The sequence below is a fragment of the Homo sapiens genome, chromosome 13 (genome assembly GCF_000001405.40).
Source record: "Homo sapiens chromosome 13, GRCh38.p14 Primary Assembly".
Classification (NCBI taxonomy): domain Eukaryota; kingdom Metazoa; phylum Chordata; class Mammalia; order Primates; family Hominidae; genus Homo; species Homo sapiens.
In genome coordinates, this window is record NC_000013.11 from 60,156,130 (window position 1) to 60,175,678 (window position 19,549).

The 19,549-nt window shown below is 40.8% G+C and overlaps 1 protein-coding gene and 1 long non-coding RNA gene across 17 annotated transcripts in view, besides 2 other annotated features; one reads left to right on the forward strand and one right to left on the reverse strand.

The window, feature by feature from the left end:
• DIAPH3 (diaphanous related formin 3) overlaps positions 1 to 7,799 on the reverse strand; it is a 498,346-nt gene extending 490,547 nt beyond the window's left edge. For all 16 annotated transcript variants that reach the window (XR_002957478.1, XR_002957480.1, XR_941672.1 and 13 more), the window contains exon 1: positions 7,458 to 7,799. Coding sequence is in view for 11 of the 16 variants with exons in the window: in NM_001258368.2 (NP_001245297.1) it covers positions 7,458 to 7,637 (180 nt within the window). In the remaining 5 variants the exon portion in view is untranslated. The remainder of the gene's footprint in view (positions 1 to 7,457) is intronic.
• On the forward strand, positions 7,928 to 16,017 carry LOC105370227 (uncharacterized). The gene is made up of 2 exons (XR_942001.2): positions 7,928 to 8,070; positions 15,859 to 16,017. It is a non-coding gene; the product is annotated as an uncharacterized LOC105370227 (long non-coding RNA).
• Positions 8,188 to 8,237: an enhancer, noted in NCBI's record as "active region_7799". NCBI's record gives its function as "activates an Ori minimal core promoter by ATAC-STARR-seq in GM12878 lymphoblastoid cells {active_cell/tissue: GM12878}" and the evidence as "EXISTENCE:reporter gene assay evidence [ECO:0000049][PMID:35858748]".
• Positions 9,326 to 9,620: an enhancer, noted in NCBI's record as "tiled region #11905; K562 Activating DNase matched - State 2:TssF". NCBI's record gives its function as "activates a minimal TATA promoter and a strong SV40 promoter by Sharpr-MPRA in K562 cells {active_cell/tissue: K562}" and the evidence as "EXISTENCE:reporter gene assay evidence [ECO:0000049][PMID:27701403]".
• Positions 16,018 to 19,549: the final 3,532 nt, after the last annotated feature.

The window sequence follows — 19,549 nt, forward strand, 5'->3', positions numbered from 1 at the left end:
AGTAGCCTTCCTTGACTCTTCCAGCTTCAGATGGCTGCATTACCAATCTCTGCCTCTGCAGTCACAACACTCTCTCCTCTTCTGTGGTCAAATAACAATACATGTGTTTGCATTTAGGGGCCACTGTGATAATCCAGAATAATCTCATTTTAAAATCCTTAATCATCTGTGTAAAGTCCTTTAAAAAAGAAAACAGGAGAAAAGGCATACAAAGGTATTATGTGCAAGTGTGGCAAGTGTGGAGTCATACAAAGTATGAAACTCAAACAAGGGCCAGATGGCTAAATCTTAAATACCCTCTTCATAGGGAAGAGGGAAGTGGGGTATGTAAGGCAATTTACAGGATGAGTAAATAATCTTTAGGGGGGATGAATGGGCCCAAAGAAGAGATGAAAGTCTGAGACAAAGTTTATCTGGGCTTGGTGTGGTGTCAACTCCAATCTTCCTTCAGTATACATCTATTTGACTTGAGATGTCTGGGAAAGAGATTCACAAGTTGAATATCTTCTGGAGGATACAACCTTTAGGTAGATAGGGGAACTTCAGAGAAGACCCTTTCTTGCATTTCTGGCTCCCCAGGTTCTCTCGATTTGAAGTCCAAAGTGGCATATTTGGGGGTATAATTTTCTGAGCCCTAACAATGCTTTCTTTCTCAGATTAGTATCATAAGCTCCAAACAGAAGTTGCTTAAATAAGTGCGTTTTCTTTTTCTCCCAGTACAAGATGTCTGGTGGCAGGTAAGTTCCCAGGTTAACCTAACCTATAGTGGCCCAGAGACCCAGATCCTTCATATATATATATATATATATATTTTTTTTTTTTTTTTTTTTGAGACAGAGGAGTCTCACTCTGTCACCCAGGCTGGAGTGCAGTGGCACAATCTCGTCTCACTGCAACCTTTGCCTCCCAGATTCAAGCGATTCTCCTGACTCAGCCTCCGGAGTAGGTGGGATTACAGGCGCCCACTGCCACGTCTGGCTAATTTTGGTATTTTTAGTAGAGACGGGGTTTCACCATGTTGGCCAGGCTGTCATCGAACTCCTGGCCTCAAGTGATCCGCCTGCCTTGGCCTCCCAAAGTGCTGGGATTACAGGCATGCACCACCGTACCCAACCCCTTCCTATATTCTTGCTCTGCCATATGTAGCGCAGTACATGGGCCTTGTCTTCAGGCTAGCTATCCTCATGACCAGAAGACTATGGCAAAATAAGCATCACATCCTGACTATGGCCAAAGGCAAAAAATGGGCTATTGCTTCTTGTTAGCCTTTTTCTTTCAGATGTTGTATTTTTCAATGCTAGAATTTCCACTGTGGTCTTTTTATAGTTTCTGTTTCTCTACAGAGGTTTCCTATCATTTCATTCATTGTGAGCATATTTCATTTATATTCTTAAATATGGTTATACAACTGCTTTAAAATCCTTGTCTATTAATGCTTACAACTGAGTTATCTTGAGACTGGTCTCCATTGATTCCTTTTTCTTGTTTGTATGGGTCACATTTTCCTGTTTTTTCCTAATGTCAAATACCTTTGCACTGTATCCTGAACATTGTGAATGTATGGTGTAGGGACTCTGAATTCCTTCTATTCTTCTGAGAAGTATTGCTTTTTGTGTTTGTTTTAGCAGGCAGTTAACTTGGCTGAACTCTCAAACTGCACATACTGTCCCATCCGCTGGATGGGACCTGAAATCTTAGTTCAGATATGTTAGCCCTACCTGTGCTGCTTGGAGTCTGTCCCATACATGTAGGGTTCAGAAATTTGAGGACTCTACACACAGAATTTGGGGCTACCCATTTGTGGCTCCTTCTCCTCTCCAGGATTTTCTCCTCATTTATCAGCTATATGGTCACCAGAACTCTGCCCTCTGGTTTTTTATGCCAGTACAACTGTGGGCTTATATTCTAGTTTTAACCACCCCACATGACCCTGATTAGGGGCTTCCCTTATGCAAAAAGCTACAAAAAATGACAAACTTATCCAGTGCTAGTCCCTTCTTCCAAGTATTGTCTCCAATAGCCATGTCTTTTGATCACTCTCCAGTGTTTTAATAGTTGCTTTTTATAATTTTGTCATGTGAGAGGTCTGTGGTCCAATGAGATCTCAGCCAATACTGGATGCAAAGTTTTTGTTAGTTCCTTTTTACAGAGCAAAGACATCTTTCTCAGAATTCCCCAGCAGATTTCTCCTTTAGCTTACTGGCTAGAATTGTTTTCATCTGCTCTTTGTTAATCCTCTTTGTTCTGGGGCCTGCATGCCTGGAAGGATTTGGCTGCAACACACTGGCTGGTATACATTAATGAGTTGGGTTACAGCTTATTCATTAAGCTTGTGAGCTTAGTTAATGTGTATCCACCTCAGACATAGATTCAATCTCCATGTGCTGACCATATCACTGTCCAAGGCCCCAGATGTCCAGATGTGTGGAACTTTGGGGCTGCCTCCTCCTGGTGGAGTTCAACAGGCCCAGGCAGAGGTTGCTTGAACCACCTGTGGTTGCCCCAGCTAAAAGGGGAGAAGCAGCCACATTCCACAATCTGGACTGGCTGGGAAGCTGAGCAGGGAGTTCTAGAGTGGCAGCCCAAACTCAGGCAGGCAAGCACTGAAGGATGGTTCCTCATCCTCCCAGCAGGAGGTTGGAGGCTATGAGATACCCTGTCTCTCAGGGGCTGGAAGAGCAAAGAGCAGTATCTCTTTCAGACATCCTGCTGTCAGAAGTTACACCACAGCACAGTCATACATTGGGTTTAATTGTTGCTCCTGCCTGGCCCCTCTTAAAAAAAAAAAAAAAAAAAAAAAAAACCAAATAACCTGTAAAGTCATTTTTTGCCATATAAGGTAACATTCACAGGTTCCAGGGATTAAGGAGTGTCTACCTTTCAGAAGATCATTGTTCGGCCTACTACACCTGCTTCCAAATAACCCAAAGTAATTGGCAAACATGCACTAATCTCATTAAGCTTACTGGGATTTCATCTGTACTCAAATTCCTACTACGTGTACAATCAACAAAAATTCTCCAACCTTGTATATCTTCTCACCTCGCAGCCTGCCTATAATCAGAAAATCAATTCTATATTCATATTATATATTAATTAAAGGCATCACTAATTATTGCTAATGGTTCCTGGATGAGAAAAGAAGCAGTAAAGATTAAAGTTCCCAACAGCTATGGGAGAGAATTCAGGACAGTGATTAAGAATGTGTATTCTAGGCCAGGTGCGATGGCTCACGCCTGTAATCCCAGCACTTTGGGAGGCCGAAGCGGGTGGATCACTTGAGGTCAGGAGTTCAAGACCTGCCTGGCCAACATGGTGAAGCCTCATCTCTACTAAAAATACAAAATTAGCCGGGCGTAGTGACACGTGCCTGTAATCCCAGTTACTAGAAGGCTGAGGCAGGAGAACTGCTTGAGCCCAGGAGGTAGAGGTTGCAGTGAGCCAAGATTGTGCCACTGCACTCCTGTCTGGGCAACAGAATGAGACTTTGTCTCACAAAAAAAAAAAAAGAAAGAAAGAAAGAATGTATACTCTGAAGCCAGCTTGCCTAGATTCAAATCTCAGCCTCATGAACTGGCAGCTGTGTGATTTTAGGCAGCTTAATCTCTGTGTACCTTGGTTTCCTCCTATGGCAAACAAGATTAATAATACTACCTACCTCACAAGGTTGTTCTAAGAATTAAAGGAGTTGATAATTACAACGCACCTAGAACAGTGCTTGGCTCACTCAGAAAGGTTAACTAGTATTACCATCAATGCCCAAACATGGTAAATATACAGAAATTAAAGGACAAGGTGAAAAAATCTCAAAACCGGCCAGGCGCGGTGGCTCACGCCTGTAATCCCAGCACTTTGGGAGGCCGAGGTGGGCGGATCACGAGGTCAGGAGTTCGAGACCATCCTGGTTAACACGGTTAACCCCGTCTCCACTAAAAATACAAAAAATTAGCCGGGCGTTGCGGTGGGCACCTGTAGTCCCAACTACTCGGGAGGCTGAGGCAGGAGAATGGCATGAACCCGAGAGGCGGAGCTTGCAGTGAGCCGAGATCACGCCTCTGCACTCCAGCCTGGGCGACAGAGCAAGACTCCGTCTCAAAAAAAGAAAAAAAAGAAAAGAAAAATCTCAAAACCAACACTGAAGGTACTACAATGACATAATCAATCAATAATTAACAATCTATTTGATGGAAACGATTAGACGATTTACACTGAAGTCTGTGAGAACTTTTAGAGGACTCTCCTAATTAAAAAGAACTCCTTCATCAACTTGGACCACCAATTTACAGGCTCCCTTTGAATGGACTGACCTACATCCTAGAGATGGACACTTCTAGAAGCCACATGTCCTGCTCTGCCACCACTACCTGTGTGTTGCCAAGAGTAATGAGAAACAGGTATTACTGAAAGGCTTTCCACAATCTGTAGGACAACTGTTCTGTTCTACAAAGGATATAGGACTCAGGTCCAGGTATTGAGTGTGGCCTAGGGCAGGTTCCAAGTTTAATTCCTACGGAATTTTATCTGCCTTCACAAAGTCTCCACCCAGATACTTGCCCTGTCCTCTCAGCCTCCTCCATCTCTCTTCTATGCCCCAGTAGCTATCCCTACCATCTCAATGCTCACGGCTTAAGATATTTTCAAATGAGACCAAGTTGGTTAATTCACAAGCATCCCAAAGTCAATTGATTCGTAGCACAGCCAAAGTATCATACAATTACAATAGACTAATTTCTACTATTTATACTTATCTATGGGAAGAGATATCTAAGCTACAAACTCTTTTACCCAACTCACAAGTGACTTGAAGCCCGCAACTATACATTTGGTAGAAAACAAGAATTTGCCAACTTTAACAGGACTCAAAGTAAAACAAGATTTCAGCGGGTACCAGAGCTCCTGCTTTCTTACACTAAGATAGGAGGGAGTGACCAGTCTACCACTCCATTCTACTACTCGCTTGCTGCTTTGCAGAAGTGTGCAAAACACTGGCCACCTAAATTACTCCTATCCATCACATCACCAACCTATATTACTTGTTCCCATCAAAAACAGCTGCCCCAGGCTCAGATAATGACTGGGTGACCTGAAAAGATTTAGGATAACGTCACTTCATCCAATCAAGAAAAAGCCAAGAACTAACTTGACATCTGCAAGAACAGTGACTGACTTGACACCTACAAGTACAATTACTTTCTGAGGCATTGCTGGGAACTTTGATGGTCTCAAAGATCCCTCTCCATCCAAAAAACAAGAGTTACTGGTGTGCAATCAAGAGCAGTGAAAGGTAGGCAAACTGGGAAGAGCTGCTCAGGAAGCAGTCTTGAGACTGGGATACTGAACTTTAGTACAGGAACAGAGTAGAGCTGTGCCTGGAACTTCTGCCCATGTTAAGATTTCCAGTTCAACAGGAAGGTGGTCCAAAATCAGTAGCATGCCCAGGCTCCTTGGCAGACAAACTCAAACTATCTCCAAAGAAAAGCATCTCTGGAATCCTACAGGTGAAGATAAAGCAATGAGCTTACAAAGATAAATACACACAAGAAAGAGAGCAAGCCATCATGAATCTGAGTCAATGTAGACAGCCCAGGTTGCAAACAGCAGAACTGTCAAATAAAGAATAAGAACAATCAAGTAGGAAATGTCTAAAGAAATAAATGAATAAGAAACAAAGGACTATCAAGAATGCCCAGACAGATTTGAAAAATAAGCAAATGGAACTTATTAAAATAAAAAATAATTGCTAAAATCAAATATTCAGAAAAGTAGCAGATTAGACATAGCTGATAACAAAATTAATGAACTGGAAGATATAACTAAAGAAATTACCATATAAGCAAGAACCTAAATTAGTTTCAAAGTACCAAGAGTCCAAATTACTTCTAAATTAACTGGAAGTCATGATTCATACCAGACTCCCACCCAAAAACACAGTGTTTTAGATGTGTTTTTTACCTTTACAGCTTAAGAGTGTTATCTTTTAGATGTCATTTCATCTTTATGAGAATCCATTTAACAAATGGCATGCTGAGATGGTCAATGTGACATACATAAGAATGAAAAACAGCACAGAGACTGGAAACCAAATGATGAAATCCTTCAATGAAACTTAACATAAATACTAATTTAGATCCTGTTTTCATGACCTCCTTGCTGGGAATGAGTCACAGAAAATAACACCTCCTGTATTCTGGACCACAGAAGTTAAAACAAAATAAAATAAGATTATTAACCCAGAGAGTAGACTATAAAAGGAAGAAAAGTCATTGCCTTAGTGGATTCTTCTCACATTAGGCAAAAATCTTTCATTGGGAAGTTAACTCTGTCCTATTCATTCTTCAGATTTGTCAAGATAATGATCAAGTCCATACTTGATCCTTCTGCAAAATGTCACTATTCCTATGACCATTTTGATACTTAATTTGGCATAATTAATCTATGCTGTTCCTCATTTTCAATTAATCTATGCTGTTTCTCATTTTCAGTATTCTGATATATCTCATGTATCAGAATATGGGCTCTCAGTCTTATTCAACTATTATTTTTAACTAAATGTTATAGTTAGCAACTGGTTCACAAACCATTATTCCCTTAATTTGTGAATCATGACTTAAATTTCTCACAATTTTTACTTGCCCACATAAGGCAAATGCTGTACTCTCTCTCTCTCTCTCTCTCTCTCTCACACACACACACACACACACACACACACACACACAGTTTTTCCATATTCCTAAGGAAAATGGTGGAGTGGTCAATGTGAAATTTCAATTCTGTTGGACTCATCCCAAATCTATCAACCCTCTATGTGATTTATTTACACACACAAACCCCAAAATAATCATCACTGCCTATACTTTCACTAGTTGACACCAACGAAAAGACAAGGTGTTAATCATGACACTTTCCTTAAGTGTTAAACACAAGCAAACCAGAATAGCAAGTTTCAAATATTTAGAATTCTTTCCAAGCTAAGCAAAACATTCTTTAGCAGTGACCACACCACCCGCCAAGTTCTAAAACTAGCTGTTTCAACTTGGAAAATTATATCTACCTTAAAAGTTCTTATATGTAATTAAAAGTTCTTATTAAAATAATAAGCAGAAAAAAAACCTGTCACCTAAAAGTTCATTTTGATATATCTTATACCCTCTTACACTAGGGAGGAAGGGAGAACTTCGACTTAAAAAATGCAATGTCCACCTAGATGACGTCAATACATATACACGTTTGAACTGCTTTTCACATCAGCGTTAAGAAATTTGGGGGCAACACAAAGATCTGGGCATTTGTCACAGGATCCAACTACAACTAGACCCGGTCGTTGTCAATCTATGATCTTTGGCACCTCTGGATCTCTAGAATAAAACTTGGTCCCCAAGTTCTTGTGGGCCCACCCTCGGCAGTCAGCCCTACGGCGGGGCGGGAGCGGCCCCACCCTAGCTCCAGGCGATACTCACAAACTTGGGGCGCTTCTCCCCAGGCTCCTCGGGGCCACTGGGCGGCGGAGGGTGTTGGGGGCCCTTCCTGCGCGGCATCTTGCTTTCCCGGCAGCCGCGGAGAGAGGCTGAGGAAGGGTAGGGAGTCCCAGCGGCTGAGCCTTGGGCCGGGTGGTGCAGCCGCGGCTGGTGCCGTTCCATCTTTCCCCGCAGCTCCGGGGACCGGAAAGAAGGTGGCCACTCAGCAAGCCGCAAGCTGGAAGCTGAGGGATCGACAACAGGTTTTACTCCCGGGGTCCGCCACCCAAACAGTCAGCACAGCCTAGCCCAACCGCTGAAGTCGGGGCCGCAGCCAACACATCTGAAAACTCCCGCCACCCGTGTTGGCCCGGGACTGGCCAATCCCGCGCCGCCGGATCAATGACACGCTGAGGCACCGCCCCTTCCGGGCACTGCGAAACATGATTGGCCTTGCGGCCTGTCTATGCAGCCGCTCAACCCTTCCGGCGGTCCAGGCCGCTCACCTTAAGGACGCAGAGTGGCGTCAGATTTGGAGAAGCGCCGGGGACCGTGGAGGAAGTCATCGGCCTGGATTTCTTTGGATTTGCAGATAGGGTTCCAGCAGAACTGGAAGGTGGGCGAGACAGGCCCTGCGCCACCATTTGAGCAGCGCTGGGATATAAAACCATCTGCTAGCCCTCTCCTTGCACGTCTGGGGCTGGAAAAAGTAGTTCTGGGACTGGGTACGGTGCTGGAAGGGGTACTAGGCAGGATGAAACGACGGGGCCCACGACGCTCCAAAAGGAAGCCTTCTGGACATATTTCCTGCCTAAGTGCTCGCTCTGGGGTGGCAGAGGGGTCCACCCAAAATCAGACAGAGCTAGGCTAGGCTGAGCCCTTCAGGAGCTCACAGTCTCCTGTAGTTTCCAAACCCTAACACAATTAACCAAGGAATGTAAATGTCTATAGCAGTTGTTTTAGAAGTTCCTTGAGAACAAAAAGGGAAGTTATTAAATCTGAAGGAGTGGATCTGGAAAGGTAAAAGGAAAGCTGCATAGGTTTTCACTAGGCAGGAAACAGTGGCAGGGCATTCATTTAAAAGGCATTCCATTCCAGGCAGGAGCAAGGCCAAGAAAGCATAGAGGTGAAGAAACTTTAAGGTCACATAACAAAGGGCCTTGAACTGAAACCATGCAAAAGAGTTTGTTGTGTAAACCCAAGGTCAAGCTACAAGGCAAACACCGTTTTCTCAACACATCAATATACCCTCTTTAAAAATGAGCTTTTCCTTGGAACTATTCCTTTAAGATATCTGTCTTCTGATTATATGGAGGTGGTGTAGGCCAAGACTCGGAAACATGCAGTATTGATTTTGGTACAAGAAACAACTCTAGGTACTCTGAGGAGTTTGGCACAGAGGTTCAAAAAATGAGCCTTAGTTCTCAGTAAGTCTTCACACTACAGCTTTTCTTTTTTAATATTTGTTTTACTGTGCCAGACTCTACAGCTCTGTCCTCAAAGAGCACATAATCTTTAGGGAAACTTACAGGAGAACAGCAAGGTCAGGAGAACTACAAGTAGTTCCTTATATCTTGATGACAGACCCAGATACAGATTTTATTCCTGCCATTTACTAGCTATTTGATACCGGAGATGACGTTTAACTTTCTTTGCTGCTTCATCTACAAAAGGGGGGTAATTATACTAATACCTATGAAAGAGGGGCATTTTCAGGCCTAAATAACATAGCATATGTAAAGCCCTTAGAGTTTTGTCAATGCTCCTACAGGAATACTGTAGTTGAAGAAGTTGGGATTATTACTCAGGGAGGGAGAACATGCACTATGGGGAGCCATGAAGTGTCTTAGGTAAATGGTATTAGAAAGCACTTAAAGGATTTGGGCTTTGATTAGGTGATTTGGGAAAGACTCCGTGGAAAGAGGTGGGAAGGGTTGCTCAAGATTAAGTGCCTTCAGGAAGTGGAGACAGTTCAGTGATTATCTTATCTAGGAGGATGGCAGGCTAAAAGACAAGCCTAAAGCTGTAACTGACAAGCATTAGTCATCCATATCATGGAGAGAGGGGAATGTTTGATTTTGAAAGACAAAACAAATTAAAGATCTAATTGGCTTTTATTTGCAATTCCAGAATAGGCAAAACTTCATTCTCTAAAATAGAATCTGTTCCAATGAGCTAAGCAGAGGAGGTTGGCTTTATAGGCAGAAAAAAGCTAGAGAACAGAAATAAGGAATGAGAAGCAGATGAGTTGTTTCAAAGTTACTTTCCTTATAGGGTTAAAACAGGGGAACTTTCTTAGCATACCAGCTCAGATAAACTTGGCCCCTTCTGATTGGGTGCTATGAATTTCCTGCTTTTTGGAAAACTGGCTGGTTTCAGAGTTGCTTTTGATTATGTGGCAATACGCATGAGGGACCATTCTGCTTTGGTCTGGTCTGCCGGAGCCTAGTGCAGCAGATTAGTCCAAAACTAAGGTTAGTCTATAATCATTTCCCATGAATTTATTTAACATTGATATTTTCTGATTTGCATACTGACCTTGTTATTGTCTGTGCTTAGACAAAACATGGAAGTGATCTTGTTTTGTCTCACTTCATCATGGTCACAGAGTGACCCTGTCTGATATTGCTGTTCTGTGAGATGCTGTTCATCAGGAGAACAACATGGCCTAGCTATGAGTGTCAGGCCAGTTTCTAAAAACACTGAGGCTTAGCTATAAGTGTCAAACTAGTTCCCTGATGTCAGGGACTGCTCCTTTCTTTCTCATGTCTTTGCCACATAGAAGGTACTAAATATAAGTAAACAGGAGCCATGATAATTAATTTTCAAGTTTACGTACAGCACTCTGAATTTTTTCTCATAGAAATGCACTGGAACTTCAGTGTACTAGTGAAAATATCTTTGTATAAGTTTTATGTTTTTTAAAGTACATTTTATATGTGTGCCCCAACATACTTAAACCTCATAACAGCATGCACTGACCCTCATTTTGATCACCCAGCGAGATGATACACCCCAGTGAGTCAATAGTCATGGAAATAGAAAGTTGAAGGTGAAAAAAAAGGCCTGGAAAAGCTTGGAATCTAGGAATATATTTCTTCCCTTTATCATTTCTGTTCAGTGTCAACATCCAGAAAATTATTAATGCCTTTCTTTTGATGGCTCACTCTTATGGACCATATGAGAAAGTTGTTGAAAGCTGAGGGAAGGAAGTGATTATCCTTAATCAATTTTTTTAAATGAGATGTCATTTACCCTCATTAAATTGGCAAATACTACAAAGTTCCATGTTTCCAAGTTTGGGCCAAGTTGGGAATTCCTAGATAGATAGTGGAAGTGCAAAACAGGTATAGGCACTTTGGACAAAAACTTGGTAATACCTAGTAAAGGTGAAGGTATGTGTACCTATGACCCTGCAATTCCATGTCTAGATGTCTCCCTGGAAAAGCCCAAACATACACCTACAAAGATATTTCTTGAACACTTCTGCCATATTATGATTATCTATATATGTATATATATATAGATACAGATTTTCACCCATGGTTCCTAGTTCATAAGTTTCATAACTCTTGTTACAGCCTTTTGTTATAATGTGAGAGTGCTTTAGGCCTCAGAAGTAGGCCTCAGGGAACAGAATCTCTCTCTGGGAACTTCTGCTCTCCTTTCACCTGCCCAAGACAGGAATCTAATCTGATGGTGGGTCATAAGACCCTCAGGCCAGAGAGAGTCCTGCCCCACGCTCTAGAGAAAGGAATGCTGCACAGAGAGACCAGGAAAATCTGAACAGAACAGACAGGCCTTGCTGGGTTTAGAGCATACCCTTTTGTGCAATCACATTTCGACACAATTATCCATGCTTCAATCATGAACAACCAATGAAGTCTACATAAAACGCAGGGTTCAGAGAGCTGAACACATGGAGGCTGACAGGAAGGTGAACAGGAACTCATCCACATTCTGGGAGGGTGGTGCACTTCAACTCCACAGGGATAGAAGCTCATTCAGGGCCCTTCCAGACCTCACCCTAGGTATCTTGTCATCTGGCTGTTTATCTATATCCTTTAAAATCTCCTTCATGATAAACCAGAAAATGTGTTTCCTGAGTTCTTTGTGCCTCTCTCCAAATTAATCCAGCCCAAAGAAGGTATAATGGAAACCCCTGCTTGAAGCCAGTGGATCAGAAGTGCTAGAGGCCCAGACTTGTGATTGATGGGAAGGAGGACGCAATCTTGTAGGACTGAGCCCTCAACCTGTGGGATCTGACACTATCTCTGGATAAGGAGTATCAGAACTGAATTGGAAGACACTCAGCTGGTGTCCACAGGAGAACTGATTGCTTGCTTGCTGGTGGGGAGAAATCCTTACATATTTTGGGGTCACAGAAGTCTTGTGTGTAGATTGTTGATGAGCAGAAGAAAAACAGTTTGAGAGTTTTTCTTTTTTTTTTTTTTGGAGGGAGACAGTCTCACTCTGTCGCCAGGCTGGAGTCCAGTGGCGTGATCTCGGCTCACTGCAACCTCCGCCTCACGGGTTCAAGTGATTCTCCAGCCTCAGCCTCCCAAGTAGCTGGGACTACAGGTGCATGCCACCACGCCCAGCTAATTTTTTGTATTTTTATTAGAGACGGGTTTCACCATGTTGGCCAGGATGGTCTCGATCTCTTGACCTTGTGATCCACCTGCCTCGGACTCCCAAAGTGCTGGGATTACAGGCGTGAGCCACCGCCCGGCTGAGAGTTTTTTCTAAACACTTCATAGAAGCAAAAATGGGTAACCTAACTGTCCTATAGTCAGGGAAAGAGCAAGAGATTACAGTGTGAAAGAGCTGTTACAGTGGAATTCTACACTACATATAAAATAAATATCTAAACCTACATATGGATACATCTCAAAAACAGAAAAATCAAGTCGCAAAATATAAACAGCATACAAACAAAATTGTATATATACGTGTGTGTATATATACATAATATGTTATATGTAAGTGCATGTTATAACACAGCAAAAACACAAGGGAATTATACACAACAACTTCACCTACTTTGAGAGAAAAAAGGAAGAAGGGGAAGGAATTAAAGCTGGAACTTCATAGTTAAAATATCTGTAAATGTTTTATTTATTAATAGGGAAAGATCTGAAGTAAATCTAGCAAAATATTAACATGTATTTAATCTCAGTGGTGGGATATTGGTTTCTATATTATTATTTTCTGTTTGTTGGAAATGCTTCATATTAAATTTTTAACACAATACACAAATTAGCAGAAAAATAGACACTTTAGAACTAGGCCCCTTAACTTTGTTCCTCCACAAATTCTTGGTTTATTGGCATTGAGCCCACGATGAGATATTAAGTCTATGTAAGAAAGTATAAAATAATTAATTTCCTTTCAGGATGATTTTAAGTTGATTTTTAATTCTGGATAATAAAATATATTATTTCCCCTCCACCTTGCCTTTCCACTTTCTTCTATTCTCTCTTCTCACATCCCTTTTTCTTCTCTCCCTTAAAGTAGTGCAGAGACAGAGTCAAAAGACAGGAAAACATTTCACTCTTCCAGTTTCAGGTTAGATTAAAAATTCAGTTCTTTACCATGCATGCTTTCCAAGTGGTCAGTATATTAAAAGAAGAACCATTCAGTTACCTGTCTAATTCAATGCCTAATTGATTTAATTTCACAACTTTCATTATTATTTCACCATCTGACTACAGCAGAAATATACCTCACTGAACACAAATCTTATAGCATTTTGTGCTTAATGACAGGGTATTAGAATATTATCTTGCCAACAGCACTGACTTTGCACCTTCCATTTCAAACCCTCAGTGATAAGATATAATGCTGTTACTTGTCTTACAGGATTTGTGGCATGGCACTTTCCACACTCTCCACATGCTTGTGTGTCTTAAGATTGCTGCTGTTTAACAATATAAGGTTACATGGGAAAGAAGCAAAATAGGTACAAAGACTAACCACTGATATAGTCACATAATGTATGTGTCTACACTAAGGCTTCTCAACCTTGGCACCATTGACATTTGGGGCTGGATAATTGTTTGTGTGGGAGCTGTCCTGTGCATTGCAGGATGTTTAGCAGGATTCCCGGCCTATATTCAATAGATGCCAGTAGCAGACCCAGACCCATGGTTGTGACAACTAAAAATTTCCCCAGACATTGCCAAGTATCCCTGAGGGGCTGAGTAATATTCCATTATATGGACATAACACTTCGATTTGGCTTATCCACTCATCAGTTGATGGACATTTGGGACATTTCCACCTTGTGGCTATTTTGAATAATGCTGCTACAAATACTCATGTACAACTTTTTGTGTGAACCTAAGTATTTACTTCTGTCACGTATACACTGTTAAGGAAGAAATTATCCATGACACTTGTTAAAGAAAGTAAGGTGGACTTTATTCAACAAACTGCCATCAAGGCAAGCATAGGGACCAGTGCAATGGGGTTTTGCAGGGCGGGAGAGAGATTGGGCTTGACTTCCAATACAAGAAGATCAAGTGGGGATTTATAGCCAAGGAGCTGAGTTGGGGGGTCAGTGGATGGAAAATTACCAAGAGGAAACATCAGGGGTAAGGAGATTCTTGCTAAACCGACTCAACAGAATTATTGTTGAAGACAGACCAGAGTGATAAAAACAGTCAGGCCAGGCATGGTGGTTCACGCCTGTAATCCCAACACTTTGAGAGACCGAGGTGGGTGGATTGCCTGAGGTCAGGAGTTGGAGACCAGCCTGGCCAACATAGTGAAACCCCATCTCTGCTAAAAATACAAAAAATTAGCTGGGTGTGGTGGCAGACACCTGTAATCCCAGCTACTCGGGAGGCTGAGGCAGGGAGAATCACTTGAATCTGGGAGGCAGAGGTTGCGGTGAGCTGAGATCGTGCCATTGCACCCCAGCCTGGGTGACAGAGCAAAGTTCTGCCTCAAAAAAAAAAAAAAAAAAAAAAAAAAAGATACCAGTGGTGGGGGATACACTGACTTAGCAGGATTATTGCTCAATATGGACTCTACAAGGACAGATAGGGAAGCTCAAGGTCAAGCCTAGTCAGAAGGAACTCAGAGGAGGCTGACTCAAATTTGGTCAAAGGAAAGAATCTTTGTCAATATGCAGTGGAGGAATTTCTGGGTCATACAGTAATCCTATATTTGAGGAATTGGGCCATTTTGCATTCTCACCAGCAGTGCATGAGGGTTCTAATTTCACCACATCCTCATCAACAATATTTTAAAATCTGACTTTTTGAATTTAGCTATCCTAGTGTGTGTGAAGTGGTTTTGATTTGCTATTTTCTGTTAAAAAAATGTTATTGGAATATAGCTACACCCATTCCTTTATATATTGTCTATAGCTGCTTTTGCTCTACAATAGTAGAGGTAAGAAGTTTTAACGGAGATCACATAGCCTGCAAAGCCTAAAGAATTTGCTATCAAACCCTTTACAGAAAATGTTTTCTGAGCCCTGCTAAAGGATGTTTTTTCCCTTATTGTATCACAATTACTTTTGTTTGGTTATTTCTTTTTCTTCAATGAGAGTAGTATTCTAGTAAAAAGTAAATGTTAATTTTGGACAAGTGTTCACAATGGAGCTAAGTACTTGCCTTTGCCATATTATACACCCACACAGGCTTTAATCCTTTTTTTTTCTTTAACCTATTTAACAAGGTCAAAAATATCTTGCCATCATAATGAATCACTGCGGAGAACCAAGTTGATTTAAGGTACATCTGAAAAGCAAAATGATAGCAGGAAGAGATGGCAAAAAAAAGCCAAATTATTAAAATTATTAAATTATTATATGGATATGTGATTCTTCTTAAAATACATTAAAGCAATTTGTGCTCTGATAAGTTTTCTCCAAGGTCTTATGCTCTAAGTTCAGATAGAAATTCTTCATAGGGAATGTAATTAGTATAACACAGTTTAATGTCATGCTTAATAGTTTCCCAGAATGTTTTGATTAGAAAATTAATCTGCCCCTGTTTGTAGATGATAGAGCCGTTTAAAGGAGAACAGAAATATTCCTATTAGTGTGAGATACTTAACTAAGGTTCAGTTGAAAGTGTTAGATGTCACTACCAGATCGTATTCCCAGTATTAAATAAGTAGAAAAAAGGAATTAGGTAATTATTAAGACTCTTGTAAGATTACAGTTTAATTCCTTTAAAGCACAATTACTAAAACCTAAATATAATTTGTTGAGTCACTTGGAAAATAATTTGTCTGACAATAGCAAATAGAAATTATGTCCCAAAGCTAAAAAGAAATGTAAAATAAACGATAAGAATTCTGTGGTGCCCAATAGAGATTTTCAAATTGTCTGTTTCTTTCATCTATATTTCTGTCTCATCACCACATATGCTTTTCTTTTTATCCTCAGGTGAATTGCTGTGTTGTGGACATTCCTCAAGATCAAATGTACATAAAACCTGTCTGTATCTACGTCTCTCCTTAGGGTGTCCATTTGTGTGCATTATTTGCTTTCTGTTTTGTTCTTTGAACCCATTGTAACACAATAGACTTAAAATTATTTACTAAATTTGCTTTGATTAAGGTATTGCTGTTTATATTTGGGTCATGAAAGAGTAACGTGTAATTAGTTGCAACAGTTACAAGGGCAAGTTAGCGTCCTTACCTTTTTGCTGAGATGTCTGAAATATTTACAGTTTCTTGTGAAATCAAGCTGTGCCTGCACACTGTCCTGACACTGCAGTCACAAGTCACCAGATAATTTTATACTGCCAGAGCCTCATTCTCAGTCTTTGATCCCTCTTTATTTGCTGCTGTTGATCACAGTATCCTTCTTGAGACTCTTTTCTCACTTATTTCTCTCATCATCTCTCTAAAAATTATCTCCCTGACCTCTGCTTGGGCTTTTCTTTCTCTCCCCATCTTCTAGTGGGATGGTATGCCTCTTTGTGTAGAATGCTTTGAGACAGAAAGCCTGATTTAGTTCCACTATGTGGGCACCTTCCAAATAATAAAACAACTGGAGGAGTGAATGCTTACTCAGGACAAATCTGCCTCAGTTTATTCATGGGGAAAATGAGGAGTTCAAATTGTATTCCCCAGACATTCAAACTGGGATACTCAGAGCTCTAAGCTTTCACACCAGTACTTCAGGGACCACTGCAGAAGGTGAGGGAAAAAGCATCCATGTGGTATGATTCTAGACCCTCCCTCTAGGGACGTTTAAACTGACATTGCTTTTACCTGTTTGTTTTATTATTCAACACGAGGTACCATGTGAAACAAAAAAAGAAGTCAGCAAAAAAGAATAAAACCTTTATTAAATGAAATGGGTTATAAATCAGTGTTTCTTTTTTCTTTCAGTTTTAGAGATGAGGGTCTCGCTATGTTGCCCAGGCTGGTCTTGAACTCCTGGGCTCAAGTGATCCTCCCAACTCGGCCTCCCAAAGTGCTGGGATTACAGACATGAGCCACCACACCCGGCCAAATCAGTGTTTCTTAACCTTTTTTCAAAATCGTCCTTTTGGGCTGGGCACGGTGGCTCATGCCTGTAATCCCAGCACTTTGGGAGGCCGAGGCAGTCGGATCACCTGAGGAGAGGAGTTTGAGACCAGCCTGGCCAACATGGCGAAACCCGGTCCCTACTAAAACTAAAAAAAATACAAAAATTTGCCAGCCCTGGTGGCGCATGCCTATAATCCCAGCTACTCAGGAGGCTGAGGCAGGAGAATTGCTTGAACCCTGGAAGCAGAGGTTGCAGTGAGCTGAGATGGCACCATTGCACTCCAGCCTGGGCGACAAGGGAGACATTCCATCTCAAAATAAATAAACAAATAAATAAATAAATCAGCCTTTTAAAAAATCTTTTAGACATTTTTCTTAATTGTCCTCCTCTATGAAATTTTACTACTTTAGATATACTGTATATGTTTAGGTACTATATGTATGCCACTGTTTTGTATCTAAAAAGAGAACATTTATTTGCCCCCTAAGAACCAATTTTCATAACCTCAAAAATGTGAATTTTCATAATAAATTTTCAAGGGTAATAGTCCCCCCTGTACTGTAAATCACCTAAATAACCCACTAAATAAATAATTGGGTAACTTCGAGCTACTTTCTTATCCTTGAGAATCTCTATTTCCATTTACAAAACAGGAGAAAGCACTTGGTACATATTACATACTCAATAAAGGTTAATTTTTTTTCACCTTGAAAGTCTCATGCAGTCTGACATTCTATGAAATTACAATTCTACTTGGATCTTCCCAATTTAAACATAAAAAGCCACCTCTCACAGTCCTACTGCTATCACCTTCCCCTCCCGATTGCCAGTGTCTGCCGGCGTTAGCACTGTTCTTTAGTATTCCAAGCAGAAATCCGGAACGTTCTCTTTGATTTTTCCCTCTCTTTGACAAATTACACCTAATTCAAGGTGGCATAGGGTGAACAAAGAGTAGTACCATCCCAAAACTCTGGGAAGGAGGAATGAAATAGGTTGCCTCGCTGATAATTAAACCAATTACATTAACATATAATAGGAAGGAGATTATTTTTTGTTTGTTTTCTGAGTTAAAAAACTGGTAATTTTTACTTCAAGAGTATATTAATCTATCAGCAAAGAAGAATATTAACCAGAGGTTGCCGTCAGAATCGGAAAGGAGAAAAAAAATGAGCCTATCCCACGGACATCTAAAAATCCAACGCATTACAAATGTAAACTCAGCATTTTTGCCCCTACACCTGTCTCACCCAATAAACTCACCTCACTCAATAGCAACATAGCCTACCCAATTACCTAAGCAGAAATCTGCTCCATTTCACATCCAGCCTCTAAATCCTGTCAATTCTTCATCCTTAATATCGTTCAAATCCATTCTCTCCACACCATTGCTCCACCTGAGAACAGGCTCTGCCCCTGCTCCCCCAGACAGGTGACCCAGCCCAGCTTTCTGAGGCTATGCTCGGATCCCTCCAACGCATTCTGCAGGCTGTTGCCACAGTGCTGTCTGTAAAAAGGATATCTAATCATCTACGTAACTCCCACAGTTTAAAATCCAGCTACTCCACTTCACACCCCTCCAACACCTCAAAAGAATGAGAGGGGGAAACCACTCCAGGAGAAACCGCCACAAAGCAATGTAGCAGTATTGCCTTGACTAGAAAACTGGCAGCAGAAAAACCTTTTAACTAGTTGCTTTATGTCATGAAACCTACCTTCCGTTGACCTTAAAAGAAACAAACTTGGGCCTAGCCTAGGTAAAGGAGTAACCCCTGAGTTTAGTAAAGTTTTACTTAGTTTATTTTCAGTGTCAAAATGTTTTTTATTAGCTCTCATAAATAATTTCTTTGGGAACTCTTTAATTTTTCAGGGACATAACTACATGTGTCATGGTCCCCTGTAGTTATAATGTAATCCTGGATTCAGAAATACAGAATTGCTAATTTTATAGGTCAGGTGAGTCTCAATCTTCTCATTCTAAGAATTAGTATACAGAATATATTGTAAAACAATATTCTACTATTCTTACAATTAAGCCTGATTCATAGTTCTGTACTGTTTAATTTACTACATATGGTCATGCACCACATAACATTTTAGTCAATGACAGACCTCAAATACGATGGTGGTCCCATAAGATTCTAATACTGTATTTTTACTCTACTTTTCCTATGTTTAGGCATGTTTGGATACACACGTTTGCCACTGTGTTGTAATTGTATGTCTCTCAAATTCTGAAATATTAGAATGACATCCTGTGTTCTGAAATCCCAGTTTAGAAAGTTAGGTCAAACTAGAAGTACCATTTAATTTTAAAAAGCATTTCGCTAAACTTACTAAAGACAGAGGAATAAGTGGTTACTAAAAGAAAACAGACTGTGCCTGAACATTAGGGTTTAACATATATTTGAAGGAGGATAATACATGTTTGCACAGTCTTGTGGTTTTTAGGTGGGACCTTTGGCAGGTGACTAGGACATGAAGGCAGAGTGCTCATGAATGGGGTTAGTGTCCTTATAATAGGGACCTCAGAGAATTTTCTTGCCCCTCCACCATGTGGGGATCCAGCAAGAGGACAAACAAAATAAAGTAAATTTAT